Source organism: Homo sapiens, chromosome 7 (assembly GCF_000001405.40).
Source record: "Homo sapiens chromosome 7, GRCh38.p14 Primary Assembly".
Taxonomy (NCBI): domain Eukaryota; kingdom Metazoa; phylum Chordata; class Mammalia; order Primates; family Hominidae; genus Homo; species Homo sapiens.
The window spans coordinates 7,038,200-7,061,162 of record NC_000007.14 but is presented as its reverse complement, the minus strand read 5'-3'; the positions used below and the strand labels follow the sequence as shown (position 1 = coordinate 7,061,162).

Below are 22,963 nucleotides of genomic sequence, written 5' to 3'. Positions count from 1 at the left end.
TGTTACTATTAATTAATATCATATTAGAAAAAATTCATATTAATATTGATCATTAATATTAATATTAAGAAGCTAGGATTAATCATTAATAATGTTATTACTCCTAATACCGCAGGGTGTCTACACCCCCTGGTGATATTGTTTCTAATATCCAGGGAGAGAGGGCATGATATTCGTTTCAGTGTCGCAGTAGGTGTACAGCAACCCTGTGATATTGATCCTAATATTCATGGATTAGAGTATGACATTACTCCCAATATAGCGGTGGGTGTACATCCACCCGGTGATATTGCTTTTAATATTCACGGAAGAAGAGAACGATATTACTCCCAATATCGCAGGGAGTGTACACCTCTTCTGTGATACTGTTCCAGGTATCTGGAGGGGGAAGAGGATGATAATACTTCCAGTATCGCAGGCTGTGTACACCCACCCTGTGACATTGTTCGTAATATCCAGGAAGGGAGAGGATGCTATTACTCCACACCTAGCAGGAGGTGTACACCCACCCTGGGATATTGTTCCTAATATCCATGGAGGTGAGAGGCTGATATTACTCCCAATATCGCAGGGGGTGTACATCCACCCTGTGATGTTCTTAATATTCAAAGGCCGAGAGGTTGATATTACTCCCAATATCGCAGAAAGTGTATACCCCCGTGTGATATTGTTCCTAATATACAGAAGAGGAGAAGAGGATATTACTCCCTATATCGCAGGAGGTGTACACCCACTCTGTGATTTTTTTTAATATGCAGGAGGGGAGAGGATGTTATTCCCAATATCGCAAAGGGTGTACACCTCCCGTGATATTGTCCTCAATATTCAAAGACGGAGAGGATGATATTACTCCCAATATCACAGGAAGTGTACACCCCCCAGTGATATTGTTCCTATCACCCAGGAGGGAAGAGGATGATATTACTTTCAATATCGCAGGGGGCGTACACGCCCCCGGTGATACTGTTCCTAATTTCAACGTGGGATAGGATGATATTACTCCCAATGTCTCTGGGGTTATACACACTCTTTTGACATTGTAACTAATATCCAGGTGGGGAGAGGATGATATTACTCCCTATATTGCAGAGGGTGTACACGCATCTTTGATATTGTTCGTAATTTCTAGAGGGGGAGATGACATTACTCACAATATCGTAAACAACGTGGTGTGTCCACGTGGATCGTAATATCCAGGGAGGGAGACAGGGTGATATTACTCCCTATATGGCGAGGTGTGTCCACCCCGCCTGTCATATTGTTTCATATATCCAAGGGGGAGAGGTTGATATTACTACCAATATCGAAGAAGTGTACACGCCCCCTGCGATATTGTTCCTAATATCTACGTTGGGAGAGGATGATATTACTCCCAATATCGCAGGGGGTGTACACTTCGCCTGTGATGTTATTTCTACTATCCGGAATAAGAGAGAATGATATTACTCCCAATAGTGCAGGGGGTGTACACCCCCATGTGATATTGTTCTTACTAGCTAAAGGAAGAGAAGATAATATTATTCCTTATACTGCAGGAGATGTACACCCACCTGTGATATTGTTCCGAATATCCAGGGAGGGAGAGCATGACATTACTCCCAATATCGCCGTGGGTGTACACCCACCCTGTGATATTGCTCCTAATATCCAGGGGGCAGAGTATGACATTACTGCCAATATAACAGTGGGTGTACATCCACCCAGGAATATTGCTCCTAATATTCAGGGAAGGAGAAAATAATAATACTCCCAATATCGAAGAGAGTGTACAACCCTTCTGTGATATTGTTCCTAATATCCGGAGGCGGAGAGGATGACATTACTTTCAATATTGCAGGCTCTGTACCCCCACCCTGTGATATTGTTCCTAATATCCAGGAAGGGAGAGGATGATATTACTCCCCATATACTAGGAGGTGTACACCCACGCTGGGATATTGTTCCTAATATCAAGAGAAGGGGGAGAGCCTGATATTACTCCCAATATGGCAGGGGGTGTACATGCCCCCTGTGATATTGTTCTTAACGTTCAAAGGAGGAGACGATGACATTACTCCAGATATCAGAGAAAGTGTAAACCCCGTGCGACACAGTTGCTAATATCCAGAAGGGGAGAAGAGGATATTACTCCCAATATCGCAGAAGGTGTACACCCACTCTGTGATATATTTCCTAATATGCAGGGGGGGAGAGGATAATATTATTCCCAGTATCGCAGGAGATGTACACCCCCGTGTGAGAGTGTCTTTGATATTCCAAAGCAGAGGGGATGGTATTACTCCCAATATTGGAAAAAGTGTGCACCCCCAAGTGACATTGTTCCCATGATCCAGGAGAGAAGAGGATAATATTACTTTGAACATCGCAGGTGTACACACACCCAGTGATATTGTTCCTAATTTCAACGTGGGAGAGGATGATATGACATGCATTATCATAGAGAGTAAAAACACCCCTGTGATATTGTTGTTAATATCCAGTGGGGGAGAGGATGATATTGTTCCCAATACGGCAGAGGTTGTACACCCGTCTGTGAAATAGTTCGTAATTTGCTGAGGGGGACATGATTTACTCACAATATCATAAACACTGTGTAGGTCCACCGTGGATCGTAATAGTCAGGTGGGGAGAGGGGGTTGCTACTACTCCCCGCATCACGGTGGGGTGTGTGCAGCCCCCTGCGATGTGGATCGTAGTAGCCGGGGGGGGAAAGGGGGTTGCTACTACTCCTCATATCGCTGGGGGTAACAATATGTCAGTGTGGTGTACACCCCCCGTGATACAGAGAGTAATATTATCCTCTCCACCACTGAATATCCCGAAGAATATCGCAGGGGGGCACACACACACGGCGATATGATTGGTAACATCATCTCCTCCCCCGGGTATAATGCAAAGAATATCACAGGGGTTTTTACACATCCTGCGATATGGGGAGTAGCATCACTCTCTCCCTCCTTGGATATTATGAACAATATCCCAGACAGCTGTATATTCCCTCCGATATAGGGAGGAAAATCACCCTCTCCTCCCCTTGATTTTACAGACAATATCACACAGCGGTATACACCCCTGCGATATGAGGAGTAGCATCATCCTCTCCACCCTGGACATTATGGACAATATTGCTGGAGGGTGTACAGCCCCTGCGATATGGGGAGTAACAGCATCCTTACCCCCTGGTTATTATGGACAATATCGCAGTAGGGTGTACACCTCCTGCGATATGGAGAGATACATCATCGTCTCCCTTTCTGGATATTATGGACAAAATCGCAGGGGTGTGTACACCTTCTCTCCACCCCCGGACTTTACACACAATATCGCAGGGGTGTGCCCCTGGATTTGGGGAGTTGCATCATCCTCTCCCCCTCCCTAGATATTACGGACAATACCAGAGTGAGGTGTACATCCCCTTTGATATGGGGAGAAATATCATCCTCTCCCCTCTTGGATGTTACAAACAATATCACAGGGGTGTGTACCCCCTGCGATATGGGGAGTAATATTATTCTCTCCCTCTCTGGATGTTACAGTCCATATCTTAAGGGGGCTTTCATTCCCTGCGATGTGGGGAGTAATGTCTTCCTCTCCCGCTCTAGATGTTATGGACAATATCACAGAAAGGAGTACACACCCTGCCATATGGGGAGTAATATAATCCTTTCCTTCCCTAGATGTTACGAACAAAACACCGGAGGGCGTACACCCCCTGCAATATGGGGAGTAATATCATCACCTCCACCCCTGGATGTTACAGACAATATCACAGGTGGGGTGAATACCACCACCAGCAATATGGGGAGTAATGTCACCCTCTCCCACTCTAGATGTTATGGACAATATCACAGGAGTGTGTACACTCCCTGCGATATGGGGAGTAATATCAGCCACTCCCCCCCCCCACCGGATGTTAGGGACAATATCATAGTGGGTGTACACACCCTGCAATATGTGGAGTAATATCTTCCTCTCCACACTTGATGTTGTGGACAATGTCACAGGGAGGTGTACACCCCCTGCGAAATTGGGAGTAATATCATCCTCTCCCCCCTAAATATTATGAAGAATATCTAGCAGGGGGTGTACACCCCCAGCGATATTGGGAGAAATATCATGCTCTCCTCCCGTGGATATTATGAACAAAATTACAGAAAGGTGAAGAAACCCTGTGATATGGGGAGTAATATCTTCCTCTCCACCCTGATGTTACAGACAGTATCACAGACGGGTGTACACCCCCTGCAATATTGGGAGAAATATCATCCTCTCCCCCCGTGGATGTTACAAACAAAATTACAGAAAGGTGAAGAAACCCTGCGATATGGGGAGTAATATCTTCCTCTCCATCCTTGATATTACGGACAATATCACAGATGGGTGTACACCCCCTGCGATATTGAGAGTAATATTATCCTCTCCCCCTCTGGATATTATGACCAGTATCACAGGAAGGTGCACACTGCCTGCAATAATCGCAGTAATATCATCCTCTGTCCCCCTGGATATTATGAACAATATCACAGGGCAGTGAACAAACCCTGCGATATTGGGAGTAATATCATCCTCTGCCTCTGTGAATAGTACGGACAATATCACAAGGGGATGTACACCCCCTATGAAATTGGGAGTAATGTTATCCTCTCCCTCCCTGGATATTACAAACAATATCACAGTAGGTGTACACAGGTGTTTACGATATTGGAAGTAATCTTATGCCCCACCCCCCTGGATATTACGAACAATATCCCAGGTGGGTGTACACCCCCTGAAATATTGGGAGTAATATCATCCTCTCCCCCCTGGATATTATGAAGAATATCACAGGGGGAGTGTACACCTCCTGCAATATGGAGTGTAATATCCTCTTCCCTTCTGGTTATTATGAACAACGTCACAGGTAAGTAATATCATCCTCTCTCCCCCTGGATATTACGAACAATATCACAGGGGGATGTACCCCCCTGCGATATGGGGAGTGATATCCTTTCCCTCTCTGGATAGTACGAACAATATCACCGTGGGGTGTGTACCCCCTGCATTATGGGGAGTAATGTCATCCTCTCCCCCGCCGGATATTACAGACAATATCACAAGGAAGTGTATACCCCCTGCGATATGGGAAGTAATTTTATCTTCTTCCCCCCTGAATATTACAAACAATATGATGGTGGGTTGTTCGCCGCCTGCAATATGGGGAGTAGTATCTTCCTCTCCCCCATGGATATTATGAACAATATCACAGATGGTGTATACCCAGGGTGTTTACGATATTGGTAGTAACATTCTCTCTGCCTCTGCAATATTGGGAGTAATATCTTCCTCTCATAATATCCAGTTTGTGCAAAGGCTTTCAAGGGTGAAGTAGCTTGTTGTGGGTGAGTTTGCCAATGCTGCTGAAGTGCAATAAGCAAGGAAGAGCACAGAGACACCAGGTCAGATAAGCACTATTCAACAGAACTTGTGATGATAGACGTGTTCTGAATCTGTGCTGGATAATATGGTAGCCACTAGCCACATGTGGCTATTTAAATTTAAGTTGATATAAATTAAATAAAATCTAACATTTAGCTTTTCTATTACACCAGCTTCATTGCAAATTCTCAGTAGTCACATGTGGCTGTTTAAATTTAAGTTGATATAAATTAAATAAAATCTAACATTTAGCTTTTCTATTACACCAGCTTCATTGCAAATTCTCAGGAGTCACATGTGGCTAGTGGCAGTTGTATTGGACGACATGGTGTCAGAAGATTAGCAGGAACCAGGTAGGTGAGGCTTTGCTCACCAAGGTAAATCTTGTGAATTATTTGCTAATTGTGAAGGGTTTGAATTAGGGGACTACTGTAGTTTATTTACATGATAAAACATCTCTGAGGCTGCTGGGAAGAGAGCTGAGGCAGGGAGGAAATCAAGAGAGGAGATAGGGAGGCCAGTTGTAGCCATTGTAGTTGCCTGGAAGTCAGGTGAGGGTAGCCTGGATTAGTGTGACAGTAGTGGAGCAGAAAAGTGGATATATTTGGGATTTATTTTGGTGATAGGTCCAAGAGAGGCTGCTGATGAACTCAACAACCTCTGTTGGACCTATCACCAAATATTAACAAATATTTCACATATCACATGTGAGATGTGATGGAAAGAAATAAATCATGGATAACTCCAAAATTTTCATTTCAGGAAAATTCTTTCATTATATGTATTAATACCATTAATCAGGCTCTATCCATTTTGAAGATGGCTTACATTCTCTTTCTCTCTCCCAGTTATCAATCCATTTCCATGATTAAAGTTACAGCACTTCAGGATTGCATGGTCCCGCTAGTGGGTTCTGCCTCTCCCTTTACACCTTCGTGGACGTTGCTGTTTTCCAGGCCAACAGTGAATTTTTCACGGCCAAATAAAATGGCTAATTCTTAGTTTCAGTCCTACTTAATCTCTGCCCCATGTGTGGCTGTTGATTCACTCCTTCCTCCATTGGCTCCCAGGCCACTCTCCTGATTCTCTTCCTGCCTCTCCCATGTGCCTTCTCATCAGTCTCTCTGCCTGCTCCTCCTCCACCCGCTCCCACTGCTGGCATCCTCAAGTGTGCTCAGTTTTCCATCTCTCTTGCACAACTAGGATAATCAGAGCCATTCTATTGTCTACATTTCTCATATACATTCTGCAGGCTCACAAATCTATACGCAAATAGTACCAGCCATTTCTGAGTCAGGAATTTTGCTAATTGATTTGTATACATGATCTCATTTAATACTTCCAGGAACTCTGTGGGGTAGGTATGACTATTCCAATTGTCAGATGAGGAAGCTAAAGCTCAGGAATGTGCAAGGCTTTGCCCAGGCTCGAAGAATTAAACATGGCAGAGCTTCGATTTACAGCCAAACCCATGTGGCTCCTCAGCTATGGTCGCTGCTGTCCGTAGCAGATGGATGTTTTGAGCGGACAACACATGTATGTAGAACGGGCTTTTGAAAATAGGCATAAAAAAGCTTTTTATCACCTACTTCTTTCTGTGTAAATACCACAAACAAGTAAACAATAACAAAACCAAAACACCTCTTTTCTTTGTATTCCTTACTTGGTTTGTTGAAACATCTTTATCTTTTACTTCCTCTCTACCTTCCCACATTCAATTGGTTTCCAAGTCCTGCAGGAGGTACCTCAGATGTGCTCTCTACCTAAAGGAACTCATAGAGTTTGAGAACCACTGTAGACTGCATTAGGATCACCTAGAACACTTGTTAAATCCCAGGGCACTGGGCCCCATTCCCAGAGTTTCTGATTCAGGAGGTCTGGGCTGCGGCCTTAAAATGTGCATGTCTGAAAGTTTCCAGATGATGCTTCTGCTCTGGGGACCACACTCTGAGAACCTGTGGTCTAGGGTGAGTTACAGATCTCTAATATCACCAAGAACAGGGCAGGCCAGCTGGAATAGCAGCTCTACAGAAGTGACAAGCACAGCAGAAGAAAAGAAAGGAGGGATTTGCTTTGTCTGCGATAAAAAGTAAGGCTTTGGGAGGTTTGCCTTCAGTTGTTCTGGTTCTTCCAATTTGCCTCATTATTCGCTAATTCAATACAATCAATTTATGGTGTAGAAATGCTAATTTTGGGCTACATAGGATTTTGTATTTGAAAACAACTAACGGTTTAAGGGAGGAGGAAATAAGATACAGAAGCAAACAATGCAATAATTTGATTTTTTTCCCTAAACGAGGCGTAAATGATTACAGAAGTCCCCTGATTTATAGTGGCAAAAAACTCGCAACCATCAAGCAGCTGGGGATGGGAACTGTTGGGAAAAACTCAAACTGTGTTTTTTCCTCTGCTCTCATACCACACATCAATAATCATCAACACAAAAGACTTCTGTGACCCCAAAATATGTGGATATTTCTCCCCCCTAGCAAACAAGCAATCAATTCTGCAGCAGACACCAGCTGGGTGTCCTTCAGTTCAGTTCCAACACTATCTACCTGGAGATCATGTCAGATTCCACAGGCAAAGGGCTCAGTCCTCAACATTGCTCCACCGTCTCAGGCACCAGTTGCAAGTTCAGGCCTCTAGAACTTCTGACTGACCGGCTTCAAGTTGGGGTTCTCACAATCCCCTCTTTGGGTTTAATTAATTTGCTAGATTGGCTCACCAGACTCAGGAAACACTTACTTTTGTTTATTGGTTTATTTATTTATTTTGAGATGGAGTCTTGCTCTGTCACCCAGGCTGGAGTGCAGTGGCGCGATCTCGGCTCACTGCAAGCTCCACCTCCCAGGTTCACGCTATTCTCCTGCCTCAGCCTCCCGAGTAGCTGGGACTACAGGTGCCCGCCACCACACCTGGCTAATTTTTTCTATTTTTAGTAGAGACGGGGTTTCACCGTGTTAGCCAGGATGGCCTCGATCTCCTGACCTCATGATCAACCCGCCTCGGCCTCCCAAAGTGCTGGGATTACAGGCGTGAGCCACTGCGCCCAGCCTTTTATTGGTTTATTTTAAAGGATTTTCCTCTTTTTTTTTTTTTTTAAGACAGGGTCTTGCGCATGTGCCCAGGATGGAGTGTAGCAGTATGATCATAGCTCATTGTAACCTTAAACTCTTGGGCTCCAGTGATCCTCCTGCCTCAGCCTCCCAAATAGGTAAGACTACAGGCTCATGCCACCATGCCTGGATAATTTCTTTTATTTTTCATAGAGACGGAGTCTTACTATGTTGGCTGGGCTGGTCTCGAACTCTTGGGCTCATATGACCCTCCCACCTCGGCCTTCCAAAGCGTTACTGGGATTATAGGTGGGAGCCACAACACCTGGCCTATTTTAAAAGATACAAATAAGCAGCTAGAGAAGAGGTACCTAGGGTGAGGTCTGCAAGGGTCCCAAGCACAGGAGTTTCTGCCTTGTGGAGTTGGGGTGTTCCATCTTCCTGGCACATGAATAAATTCTGGTTCACCTTCCTGTCAGCCTGCATGTGTTCAGCTCTCTGAACTCTGCCCTTTTGGGTTTTTATGGAGGCTTTATTACATAGGCATGATTGATTAAACTATTGGCCATTGGTGATCAACTTGACCTTCAGCCTCTCTCCCCTCCCCGGAAGGTTGGGGGGTGGGGCTGAAAGTCCCAACCCTGTGATCATGCCTTTGTCTTTTTAGTGGCCAGTCCCATCCTCAATCTATCAGTCAACAATTGCATATGAAAAAAAAAAAAGCACTTTGGAGATTCAAAGTATTTTAAAAGTTGTATGCCAGGAAAGGGGACGGATACCAAATATATACTTCACAATATCACAGGGGCTCTTTGTCTCTCTGAAAAACAGATCCATTTGGCCAAGACCTTCACCACCCAGAATCACATTTCTTTCCTGGCTCAAAAGTACACACAACATTAACACCTCATCCTCCTCCCTTATATCTCCTCCCCTACTCCCCAGCTTCTAGCCTAAACTAGAATCTGCCCAACAACATCGGAGTCCGTATCCCTTTTCATAAGTCCTTGTAACAAATGATGAAATGTCTAGTCTGCATTCAAATTGCCAGACAAGCAGGGCATGAGAGGGCAGAGAAAAAGTGGAGGAGAAAGCTGTAGCTGGAAGCTTCCTCTGTCTCTCCTGTTCTTCGGGACCACACTCTGCTCCAGTAATTTGCAGAACCCCATAAACATTGGACTCTGCCCTCCTGGCGAGTGTACATCACCACTGTGCCCCCACATCTGGTCAGAGGAGGATGTTTGGCTGTGAGCTGGGACTAATCAGAGTAGCACAAGATGGAGGAAAGCCAGCACTTATTTTCTCACTTCCTCATAGCTTCTGTCCCTCCTCCCTCTTGCCACACTTCTAGACATGCAAGCAAATGTTTCTTCCTAGAAATGGACAACACTGACAAATGAGAGCACAGAGAAGTGTAATTCACAGGATTTTCACAATTGCACAAAACAACATTGTAAGAATACAAATTACAATGTTAGAGAAAAAAGAAACTCTAGAATCCCACCATTTTAATGTTTCCCATAAACCACAGACATTTTTCAAAAAATGGGGCTTCCAGTCCTTATATTTGCACACATATTTGTGATCAGAATATTGATCGAAGGTCCTTGCCCTGGCTGCCCATTTGAATCACTAAGAAATATGGATGTCCAGGTGTTGAGGCTCAGATATATGTACCTCTATTTTGGTTAAATTTTTATTGAAATAAACATATATTATAAATGTGAAGCTAGATAGATTTTCACAAACTGAACAAAACTGAGTGACTAGCTTTCCAGATTCAGAAACAGATTCTCACCAGCAGCTCAAGAGAGCCACTAGGGCCCCTTTCTAGCTACTGCAGCCCAGTGAAAGTTGTCAACATCCTAACTTCTAACATCATGGGTTAGTTTTGTTTGTTTTTGAAACTAAAAAAAAAAAAAATTAAAATAATATCTACTCCTGTGCTAGCTTCCTTCCCTCAATGTTATATGAGATTCACTTATATTTGTTGCAGGTAGTTGTGATTTGTTCATTTTCATTGCTTTATAGTATTTCATTGATTGAATAAACCACAATTTATTTATCCATTTCACTGTTGATGGGCACCTAGGTAGTTAACAATTGATAAATTGGAGCATATTAAAGTTAAGGAACAACAAAATTTAACAAAAGTCACCATTAAAGAGAGGGATATGTGAAGAAAAATATTCTCAATACACATATAAAAAATAAAAGACCTGTACCCCAGTGAGAGGGAATGAATATATAGACAGGAATCCTATGTATTAACCAGTAAAACACAGCTCAATTTTAAAAATACTTGGCACACCTCAGAGAAAATATGCAAATACTCAATAAATATATGCTCAACTTCATTTATGGCTCAGGAAATAAAAATTAAAATATCCACTGGAGTGGTTAAAATTAAAAAGATATAAAATACCAAGCAATGGTATTGAATATGGAACAATGGGGATTCTCATATTGCATTGGTGTGAGTGTTAATTTGTACAACCATTTTGGAAAACTCTTTGGTGATATCTATGAAAGCTCATCACATGCATATCCTGATTTAGCAATTCTATTCTCAGATATACACTTCACAGAGATGCATACATATGTGCCCCAAAAGATAGGTACTATATAAGATGTTCTTAGTACTACATTTGTAATGGCCCCAAACAGCTCTTTATGTTTAAGATGCTCTACAGGTGATTCTTAGGACCAATCAGGGCTGGAAACTATGACAATAAATATACTTTTAACAGAATTTTAAGTTAAAATTGCATTTTATGTGCTGACTTAATAGGGAAATTATAAGCCTTTACCTTTCTCCTTTGTAAGAGACAAAGCCTTAATAATAGTTATGGCTAAAATGTATTTATCTATAAAATACTAAGGTTTTTTGTTATTTGTTGAAATACTAAATGTTTTCAAGATCATTTCTATTTTTTATGTGGTAGAATCTTAAGAAGTATTTGGCTTTGATGATAGGATCTAATATGGGAAGAGGTTAAAGTCAGGAAAAAGTAGTAATAATTCCTTAGTAATAAATCTGTACAGTAGTACAATATAACTTGGTCCTCAGCTACATCCTGAAATTTAAAAAAAGAGACTGAAAATGATTTCCCCTCCCAGTGAAGCCATCAGTTTCAGGCAGCATTACCAGGCCATCAAAAGAGGATGGGTTAATTTCTCACTAGAGAGGTCTTGGGTAGGATTCAGTCTCTCTGCTAGGTGTCTAATTCTTTAATTGTCCCAACACTTGAAATGGCCCTGGGAGGTGGTTCTTTTACTTCCATTTGACAGGTAAAGGAGTTGAGGCTCAGGGAGGCAAGGCCACCTGTAGGAAGGTCACACAGCCTGCAGGTGACAGAGCCAGATACTCCCTAGGAGATGGGTATTTCTGGTGCTGACAATAGAGGAACAGGCAACAGGTGTTTATTTAGGGCTTTCTATTTGTGGGGAACTGGGCTAAGCACTGGCTTATGACAAGGGGTTCCAAGAGGAGTGGAGACCAGGGAGTTGGTATAAGGCAAGATTTTCATTTTGAGAGACGAGGCTATTTTTTGGAAATATTTTCGAATATTAAAAAAAAGGGCAAGAGCTGATTCACTCTTTCTGTTGTGGTTGGGAGCTTGACAGGAGAAGATATTCAATGACAGCTTTGAATAGTTGTATTAGTCCATTTTCATATTGCTATAAAGAACTACCCAAGACTGGATAGTTTATAAAGGAAAGAGGTATAATTGACTCACAGTTCAGCATTGCTGGGGAAGCCTCAGGAAACACAATCACAGCAGAAAGTGAAGGGAAAGCAAGACACCTTCTTCATAAGGTGGCAGGAAGAAGGGTTGAGCAAAGGGGGAAGAGCCCCATTGGATTTCATGAGAACTCACATAGTATCAGGAGAACAGCATTGGGGAAGCTGCCCCCCGTGATTCAATTACCTCCACCTGGTCTCTCCCTTGACATGTGGGGATTTTGGGGATTAAAATTCAAGATGAGATTTGAGTGGCCTAAGCATATCAATGGTACTCTGCAAAATTGGGATAAACACTGAGGTTGAGGTTATAAACTAGGTGGCGGGTAGTTTGAGAAAATGGAAAATCTCTTTGCTCTCTAACAGATAGCTAGTACTGTTTGGCAGGAAGTGTATTTCAAAAGACAAATTAGGACCAATGTGGCAAATGAGGTTAAAGATGATTCTTGAAATGGAACTGTAGTCAGATTGTCCAGGAGCATTTGAGATAAAGTGTAGTGTGGTAGACGTAGGCTGACTAGGCTTATTCTTATCCAGAAGATGGGCGTCAAGGGTAGTGTTGAGTCGAAGAGACTGGGTCAGGGCTACAAACTGATAGCAGTGGCCTTGGATGCAGATTGTACCTTTGCTTGTGCTGACAAATCCTTCTCAGCTCCCCACTCCACTTTAATCAAACTCCCGGAACTGCTTCAAGATGCCCTGGTTCTCAGGTAGATACTTAGGGAAGGTGTGTCTTTCTTTTTTCTGCACTGGGGCATGACGAGAGAGACATCTAACTCTGCAGTTGTACTGGGCTGGTGTACTGGGCCATCAAGGCGCTACTGAGCCCAGGTGTAATGAATCTAATCTCAAAGGAAATAGAAAGCTGTGGAGGGCCACCACTAAATTATGGCCAGTTACTACTATTTCTTGAATACCTGTCCTGCCCTGGACACTACAGTTTATACTTTACAGGAACATTACCTCACCTCTACACCTTACAGCAAATTTTCAGTGTGAGTATTTTAATTCCATTTAACAGTTGGGGCACTTAGGATAAGAGAGGTAAAGATTCTTGCTTAGAGTCCTACAACTTGTAAATGGCTGAGGCTTGGTTTTAACTTGATTTGTGTGATTCTAAAGATAGTGTCCTCTCCACCACTTGGCCTGGTAGGGAAAGCTGGAGAAATGTGTCCAAACATGTGGTCTACACACCAGGCCTGGAATCTAGCTGACTGGAATGAGCGAATGGATCTCAATCATGCATTCTCAATGAGGGTTGTATTGCCCACAGGGAGCGGCCAAAAATTCTTAGGTCTCATTTAATGGTTTGTAGTCCTACAAAGGTCAAGAGTTCATAACCATATATATCGTATATCTGTGGTATTGACATTTTATACGGAGGGTGTGATCAGGAAAAAAAAAAGTCTAAAAAGGCTCCTTAGGGAGGTCATGATAGTTAAAAGGTTGACAGTCACTGCTTTTTAGTTGCATATCAGGCATAGGAGGGTACTGTGGCTAAATTTCAACCTGCCCCCTTGATGAACTAGTCTCTAACTGGGCAGGGCAGGGCTGAGTTTTGCTTAATTTTACCAGAAGAAAGCCTGCTGTACACTGGGAAAAAAATAGTGTTTCTCACATATTCTGATCTGTTCCTAGTGCGCACCATCATTATGTCATTCTTTCATCTATAAAAGTCTGCCCTGAAGGTCCTGTCAGGCAATCTTGAGCGGGCTGGCTGCAGATTACCAGGTCCAGAAGGTTGGGTAAAGGGTGGAAAATATAGTTGCTAGTAATGATGAACAAGGGTGGTTTAGGTAGAGGGGAGCAATGTTTTTCCCTTCTAGGCTCTGGCTGCTCAGAGTATAGTCCTCGGGAGGCAGCACCAGCACCACCTGGGAGCTTGTTAGAAATGCAGCATATCGGGATCCACTCAGCCTTAATGGGTCTCCTGGACAACATGCATATCAAACGGCAACAGCATATCAAAAATAGATCATGCAGGAACAAGAGAGGAAGTAGAAAGCCTACTAAAGAGGCTGTCCAGGAGAAAGTGTAGTTCAGAGACCCGTTAAGTTAAATTTTGAGAAGTACAGCTCTAGGCCAGGGGTGTTCAGTCTTGGCTAAGTTAGAATCTCCTGGACATATTAGACAATATAAGATTCCTAGGCCCTACTTGAAACAACTTAGATCAAGCACTGGCTTGGGAAGGTACTTGCAGGTATGGTTTTATATTGAGTGACCTGATTTATGGTTTGCATAGATCCCTCTGCTACAGAGGATAATTTGTGAGTGGGTGTGGAAGGCAGGCAGGGCCAGGAATGAAAGCAAGGAGACCACGGAGACCTTCCATACAGGCTGTATTAGGCAGAGCAAAACTGCATCAATGTTTTCTTTCTTTTTTTTTTTTTTTCAAGACAGTGTCTCACTCTGTTGCCCAAGCTGGAGTGCAGTGGCATGATCTAGACTCACTGCAACTTCTGCCACCTGGGTCCAAGTGATTCTCTTGCCTCAGCCTCCCACGTAGCTGGGATTACAGGCATGCACCACCACAATGGGCTAATTTTTGTATTTTTAGTAGAGACAGAATTTCATCATGTTGGCCAGGCTGGTCTCAAACTCCTGACCTCAGGTGATCAACCCACCTCGGCCTCCCAAAGTGCTGGGATTACAGGCGTGAGCCACTATGCCTGGCCAGTGTTTTGTTTGTTTTTTTTTTAACTCATACTTCCGGGCTTTCCTTTGAGGCAGGAAAAAGATTCCAATTTCATCTCACACACCGTAGCTTCCCTCCTCACTGGGACTCTCTGTGATGCTCAGGAGTGTTGTGAGTAGTTGACATTTTAAGAAGAGTACTTGGCAACAGCATATCAAAAAAGATTATGCAGGAACAAGGGAGGAAGTAGAAAGCTACAGTAAACAGGCTGTCCAGGAGAGAGATGGTGGTGGCTTTACTAGGGAAGGTAGTAGAAGAGAAGAAGGAGAGAGGAGAAGGGAATGGATTTGTTATTGATTTTTACATGGCAGTTGTGGATGGATTGGATTTGGTAAATGAAAGAAGATTAACTTTTTTTAAAACAACATTTTATTTCAGTTTGTTAATACGGTTAATTATATTCTTCCTATTTTTAATCCAGATTACTTTATCTCTCTTGCAATTATGTAATGTTTTGGATAATTAACATTGCAGAACTCTAGGGGAGACTGAATATTGTCCCTGTGTATTAACATTAAGCTCATATCACTCTTCAATCTGTGTTATGACTTTTTTATTGCCCAGTGTGACTTTAGTCTAGGTCCTCCTGAATTACTGCAAAGTATGATGATGTTGGTTCACTTTCTGTTGTTGTAACTCGGTGGTCACAGGTCTTTTGAGAAAAGCAGGATTTCTTAACCTTAGCACTTTCAGCATTTCAGGCAAGATAATTCTTTGTTGTAGTGGGGTTGTCCTGTGCTTTGTAGGATATTTAGTATCCCTGGATTCTATCTATTAGATGTCAGTAGCATGCTCCTAGTCGTGACAACCAAAAATGTCTGCAGACATTGGCAAATATCTTCTTGGGGGCAAATTGCCCTGGGTTGAGACACCGCCAACTAGGGCTAGGGCTAGAGTGTACATATTTGGTCTCATAGAAGCAATCCTCAAAGAGACGCTGTCTTCCTTTCTTTCAAAATCTTTGCATCTTAAGTCTGAAAATTGGTTGAGGTTCCACAATTCCTTATTGTGCTAATGCAGGTATGGCGTCGGTTCACCAGACTGTTTGTGAATCAAGTAGGACATTAATGGAGTGCAATGGACTGAATGTTTACATTCCGCCAAATTCATTTGTTGAAACCCTAACCCCCAAGGTGATGGCTTTAGGAGATGAGGTCTTTGGGAAGTGATTAGGTCATGAGGGCCAAGCCCTCATGAATGGGAATAGTGGCCTTATAAAAGAGACTTCAGAGAGATTCTTGCCTCTTCCACCACGTGAGGACATGGCCAGAATGTGCTGTCTATGAGGAAGTGGACCTCACCAGACACCAGATCTGCTGGTACCTTGATCTTGCACTTCCAAGGCTTAACAAATGTGAAAAATAAATTTCTGTTGTTTGTAAGCTACCCAGTATATAGTATTTTGCTATAGCAGCCTGAATGACTAAGGCATATGATAATTACCTGTTTCAGTTCTAGGGATACCATGATCAACTATTAAGTGGAATGTTAAAGATCTCTATCTGGCTGTGTGCAGTGGCTCATGCCTGTAATCCCAGTACTTTGGGAGGCCCAGGTGGGAGGACTGCTTGAAGCCAGGGATTCAAGATCGGCCTGGGCAACAAAGTGAGGCCCTGTCTCTACAAAACAAACAACAAAAATTAGCCAGGTATGGTGGTACACACCTGTGGTCCCAGCTACCTTCCTCATCTTTTGTGATCAAATGCCAGCAATTGGCGCATTCTCCCTGGGATCTCATCACTTCCACTGAAGTCACAGACCCCAGTTAGAAGGTAGCATTTCCCCCTCTCATTTAGAACCTTTAGAGAACAGCTACCACAAAGATCTTTCTTTCCCAATGTATTTTGGAAAGCTGAAATGAAAGATGTATCCTCTGAACCATTCTGAGGAACTTAGCCAGTATCTGAACAGGTACTTACTCACTTCAGCTTATCAATCTCCCTAGGCCTTTAGTTCCCTTTAGTAGTATACCAAGAAGGTAAGAAACATCAAATTAATTTAGTGCCCGTTAGTTAATGCAGTTTCTTCATAGCGTCGATAGTCTTTGCAATTTGGTATGTTTTTGCAGTGGCTACTACCGGTTGTTCCTTTCCATGTTTAGTGCTTCCTTCAGGAGCTCTTGTAAGGCAGGCCTGGTGGTGATAAAATCTCTCAGCGTTTGTCTGTCTGTAAAGCATTTTATTTCTCCTTTGCTTATGAAGCTTAGTTTGGCTGGATATGAAATTCTGGGTTGAAAATTCTTTTCTTTAAGAATGTTGAATATTGGCCCCCACTCTCTTCTGGCTTGTAGGGTTTCTGCAGAGAGATCCACTGTTTGTCTGATGGGCTTCCCTTTGTGGGTAACCCGACCTTTCTCTCTGGCTGCCCTTAGCATTTTTTCCTACATTTCAACCTTGGGGAATCTCACAATTATGTGTCTTGGGGTTGTTCTTCTCGAGGAGTAACTTGGTGGCGTTCTCTGTATTTCCTGAATTTTAATGTTGGTGTGTCTTGCTAGGCTGGCGAAGTTCTCCTGGATAATATCCTGAAGAGTGTTTTCCAACTTGGTTCCATTCTCCCCATCACTTTCAGGTACACCAAACAAAAGTATATTTGGTCTTTTCACATAGTCTCATATTTCTTGGACGGTTTGTTCGTTCCTTTTCATTCTTTTTTCTCTAATCTTGTCTTCTCGCTTTTTTTCATTAAGTTCATCTTCAATCTCTGATATACTTTCTTCTGCTTGATTGATTCAGCTATTGATACTTGTGTATGCTTCATGAAGTTCTTGTGCTGTGTTTTTCAGCTCCATCAGGTCGTTTATATTCTTCTTTAAACTGGTTATTCTAGTTAGCAATTCATGTAACCTTTTGTCAATGTTCTTAGCTTCTTTGCATTGGGTTAGAACATGCCTCTTTAGCTTGAAGGAGTTTGTTGTTTGTTATTACCCACCTTCTGAAGCCTACTTCTGTCAATCTGTCAAACTCATTCTCTGTCCAGTTTTGTTCCCTTGCTGGCAAGGAGTTGTGATCCTTTGGAGGAGAAGAGGCACTCTGGTTTTTGGAATTTTCAGCCTTTTTGTGCTGGTTTCTCCCCATTTTTGTGGATTTGTCTACCTTTGGTCTTTAATGTTGGTGACCTTGGGATGAGGTCTCTGAGTGGACGTTCTTTTTGTTGATGTTGATGCTATTCCTTTCTGCTTATTAGTTTTCCTTCTAACAGTCAGGCCCCTCTGCTGCAGGTTTGCTAGAGTTTGCTGGAGGTCTACTCCAGACCATTTGCCTGCGTATCACCAGCAGAGGCTGCAGAACAGCAAAGATTGCTGTCTGTTCCTTCCTCTGGAAGCTTTGTCCCAGAGGGGCACCTGCCAGATGCCACCCAGAGCTCTCCTGTATGAGATGTCTGTCAGCCTTTACTGGGAGGTGTCTCCCAGTCAGGATACATGGGGGTCAGGGACACACTTGAGGAGGCAGTCTGACCCTTATCAGAGCTTGAACACTGTGCTGGGAGATCTGCTGCTCTCTTCAGAGCTATCAGGCAGGGACATTTAAGTCTGATGAAGCTGCACCCACAGCCGCCCCTTCCCGCAGGTGTTCTGTCCTAGGGAGATGGGGTTTTATCTATAGGTCCCTGACTGGGGCTGCTGTCTTTTTTTCAGAGATGCCCTGCCCAGAGAGGAGGAATCTAGAGAGGCAGTCTGGCTGCAGCAGCCTTGCTGAGCTGCGGTGGGTTCCACCCAGTTCAAACTTCCTGACGGCTTTGTTTACAATGTGAGGGTAAAACTGCCTACTCAAGCCTCAGCAATGGCAGACGCCCCTCCCACCACCAAGCTCTACCATCCCAGGGCAACCTCAGACTGCTGTGCCGGCAGCAAGAATTTCAAGCCAGTGGATCTTAGCTTGCTGGCTCTGTGGGGGTGGGATCCACTGGGCAAGACCACTCGGCTCCCTGGCTTCAGCCCCCTTTCCAGGGGAGTGAACAGTTCTATCTCACTAGGGTTCCAGGTGCCGCTGGGATATGAACAAAAAAAATCCTGGAGCTAGCTCAGTGTCTGCCCAAATGGCTGCCCAGTTTTATGCTTGAAACCCAGGGCCCTGGTGGCCTAGGAACCGGAGGGAGTCTCCTGGTCTGTGGGTTGTGAAAACCATGGGAAAAGTGCAGTATCTGGGCTGGAGTTCACCGTTCCTCCCAGCCCAGTCCCTCATGGCTTCCCTTGGCTATGGGAGGGAAATCCCCCGACCCCTTGTGCTTCCCAGGTGAGGTGACGCACCACCTTGCTTCTGCTTGCCCTCCACATGGGCTGCACCCACTGTCCAACCAATCCCAATGAGATGAACCGGGTACCTCAATTGGAAATGCAGAAATCACCTGCCTTCTGTGTCGATCTCACTGGGAGCTGCAGACCAGAGCTCTTCCTATTCGGCCATCTTGCCAGCAAATGTATTCTCTGTTTTGCACAATTTTGAGATATTCGTAATTAGAGAGGCTATCCACGAATCTCAAAAATTACAGAGATGCTGCCCTCAGCTTTCCCTCTGAACCTACCATGTGTTGTTTTGCTTCTCTTGATATTTTATTGCTGTTAGCTGTCAGTGGCTCCAGGAAGAGTGGGGATCAGGGAACTGTTATAACAGGAACTTATTGGAGGGAACTATGCCATTTTGCATAGGATAGGCTGGTGTGGTGCACCAGCCATATCCGAGTACTGCTGGTTGAGAGCCCTCCATTCACTGCTTTCAGCTGAGGACTTTTCTTGTCTAACGTTACACTCCTTAACCAACGACTGATTGATGCAGAGTCATAAAGGCCTAGCTATATAATCCCAACTTGGGACAACTTTAAGGGCTCTTTCAGCTTCAGAGCTCCAATGGGGTTGGATGACATGTTCATTGACACGTTATAATCCAACCTCTCCCTGCTCTATCCTGGCCCTTTCCCTTCCATAGCTGTTGACCTAAAGAGTACTCCCAAATAAAACTCCTTTATGTTAATTGCTTTCTCAAAGTCTGCTTCTGGGAGAATGCAACCTGCAACAAAGGCAGTGATTGCCACAGGAAAATGCCATTTGGCTTGGGTAGGTGCAAAAGCTATGATGTCTTAGCAGGTATACAAAAAGAGTCCCTTCTGTCTGAGTATTTCGGGCATTGCAAAGCAGGGCTACTTGGAATAATGTCCTCCTACGTGGAAAAAGCATGTGAATTGAAGATTGGGGTGCAGACAGCTGGACAGTACATAAATACAAAAATGTTCTTTGATAAATAAGATTGTAATAGATGGCCTTGCTTTTAGGAAGAACTTTCGGGACACAATATAGGTTGAAGGTGGCAGGAAATGTATCTAAAATAAAGGCCAACTGGGCACAGTGGTTCAGGGCTATAATCCTAGCACTTTGGGAATTGAGGGCAGGACAATTCCTTGAGAACAGAGGTCAAGACCAGCCTTTGCAACATGGGACCCTGCCACTACAAAAATTAAAAAATTAACTGGGTGTGGTGGTGTATCTCTGCAGTCCTAGTTACTTAGGAAGCTGAGTGTGGAGGGTTGCTTGAGTCCAGGGTTTGAGGCTGCAGTGAGCCATAATCCCACTACTGCACTCCAGCCTGGGCAACAGAGTAAGATCCTATCTCTAAAAAAATAAAATAAAATAAAATAGAAGCCATAGTCAGGTTTTTCCAAAGACATTTTAGATTGCAAGGCTAAAGTAGACCCTTTGGCCACCTAGGCTTGTCCTTTCCCTGTAGGTAGATGTCAAAGTCAATATCCAGCTAGAGAGACTAATTGGGAATATCTGTGTCACCAAAGTTCCCTGCAGATTCGGTTCAGATATCCAATGGACAGTGCTATGGTTTGAATGTGTCCCACCAAAATGCATGTGTAAGAAACTTAATCCCCAATACAACAGTATTGGGAAGTGGAGGCTAATGGGAAGTGTTTGATCAAAAGGGTTCTACCCTTATGAATGGACTAATGTCACCATAAAAAAGGGCTTATGGGAGTGGGCTCTCTGTCTCTCTGTCTCACTCTCTCTCTTTCCCTCTCTTCTGCTCTTCTCATGTGAAGACATGGTGTCCCTTTCCTCTGGAGGATACAGTATTCAAGGTGCCATCTTGGAAGCAGATAAACCAGGCTATAATCTACTGGTACCTTGATCTTAAACTTCCTAGCCTCCAAAAATGTGAGAAAATAAATTTCCATTCTTTATAAATTACCCAGTCTCAAGTGTTCTGTTACAGCAGCACAAAATAGACTAAGACAGATAATATTTTTGGTAGATTGAATTATTAGCTTCAATTCTTCACTCCTCTCTTTATCCACACATTTTCTTGTGGAAAGAGTGAAATTCCCCATCCCTTAACATTGGGCTTGGCCATGTGACTTGCTTTGAGCAATAGGATATTAGCACTTTCATCCACTTGAAATATCCTTGCACAGTGGGGTTAATCATCTTGCGTATCTGTTATCATTTTGAGGGACATGCCATGGTAAGCCTAGTGATCAAAGAGGATAAAAGTTACACAGAGGGCTGGCCATGGAGTCTCACACCTGTAATCCCAACACTATAGGAGGCTGAGGCAGGCGAATTGCTTGAGCCCAGGAGTTCAAGACCAGCCTGGGCAACAAGGCAAAACCCTGTCTCTACAAAAACTACAAAAATTAGCCAGGCACGGTGGTGCATGCCTGTAGTCCCAGCTACTCGGGATGGCTGAGGTAGGAGGGTTACTTGCATAGTGGTGCATGCCTGTAGTCCCAACTACTCAGGGTGGCTGAGGTCGGAGGGTTGCTTGAGCCTGCATGTTGAGACTACAATAAGCTGTGATTGCATCACTGCATTTCAGTTTGGGTGACAGAGTGAGACCCCGAAAAAAAAAAAAAAAAGCCTTATACAGCTGACTGAGACCTGCAATCCAAGGCAGAGCCACCTCCATTGACCCAAAAACTCATGAGTAGAACAAATGTGTTGTTGCATAAAATTTTGCAACTCTTTATTCCACAGCAAAAATCAACCAACACAGTAGGGTCTGCTGGGGAAGCATCTCCATTTTGCTGCTTCCTGTTCCTTTACTTGTTTTGATAAAGCTCTCAGCCTTCCTAATACCTAGAATTCCCTCTAGATGTTCTCTACAGAAAGAATGTCTTTCTGCTTCTTCCATGAGGACCAGGTAGTGGTAAAGTTCTTACTTGAAAGATATCTGGGTTAATAGCAACCTTTTCACCTGGTGTCTGCATTTCCAGATTGGGCATCTTTCAGATAGTGTTGGCCACTGGGCACTTAGCAAATGGAGAAGTGCACGTACTTGAAATGATGAATTAAAGTAGATTTATTAAATGCTAGCATTTATTGTTATTTCTGCATCTGCTGAAATTCCAAAACCAAGATGTTGGCAAGGCTGCTTTTCTTTTCAGAAGCTTTAGGAGAGAATCTATACCCCCATCTTTTGAAGCTTCTAGAAGTTACCCACATTACTCAGCTCATGGCCCACTTTCATCTTGAAAGCCAGCAGAGTGTCATCTTCAAATCTCTCTTCTCACCTGGCCTCTACCTCCCTCTTACTCACTTAAAAGACCCTTGTCATTACATTGGGCACACTTGAATAATCCAGGACACTCTTCTAATCTTAAAGTCAGTTGATTAGCAACCTTCATTTTATCCTCAATCTTATTTTTCCTTGCTGTATAACATAACATATTCACAAATTCTGGGAATTTAGATGAACATCTTTGGGTGGGCCATTATTCGACATTCTACATATACTTAAAGGCAGCTTTGGTTGCTAATAATTCTTGATTCTAGTTCCCTAGCAAGTAGGGGCAGGGGTGGGCCATTGGTACCCAGATACTCTTGAGACACATGAGGCTTTCTGTGATTTTGCAAGCCTAGATTTTGAAATCTAATGCTGGGCCTGTTCATGTTGGTCAGAATTGTGCACAGATAATTCTGTCTTCAGCTTCTATAGGCTAAACTTATGGCTGGAGATCAAGCACACATCTTTCTCTTCTCATGGGCATTTTTGTTTCAGTTATTAGGGCAGGGAAGTTCTCAATTCTTCTGCTCCTTCCATTGCTTTATCT

The 22,963-nt window shown here is 43.4% G+C and overlaps 1 long non-coding RNA gene across 4 annotated transcripts in view, besides 2 other annotated features; it reads right to left on the bottom strand.

Annotated features, from left to right (window-relative positions):
- Positions 1–22,963, bottom strand: part of LOC105375138 (uncharacterized) — a 121,035-nt gene that overhangs the window by 50,113 nt on the left and 47,959 nt on the right. The window lies entirely within an intron of this gene.
- Positions 18,347–18,847: an enhancer, noted in NCBI's record as "H3K4me1 hESC enhancer chr7:7081947-7082447 (GRCh37/hg19 assembly coordinates)". NCBI's record gives its function as "activates a minimal SCP1, AML or CMV promoter by ChIP-STARR-seq in naive H9 embryonic stem cells {active_cell/tissue: H9 hESC(naive)}" and the evidence as "EXISTENCE:reporter gene assay evidence [ECO:0000049][PMID:30033119]".
- Positions 18,848–19,348: an enhancer, noted in NCBI's record as "H3K4me1 hESC enhancer chr7:7081446-7081946 (GRCh37/hg19 assembly coordinates)". NCBI's record gives its function as "activates a minimal SCP1, AML or CMV promoter by ChIP-STARR-seq in primed H9 embryonic stem cells {active_cell/tissue: H9 hESC(primed)}" and the evidence as "EXISTENCE:reporter gene assay evidence [ECO:0000049][PMID:30033119]".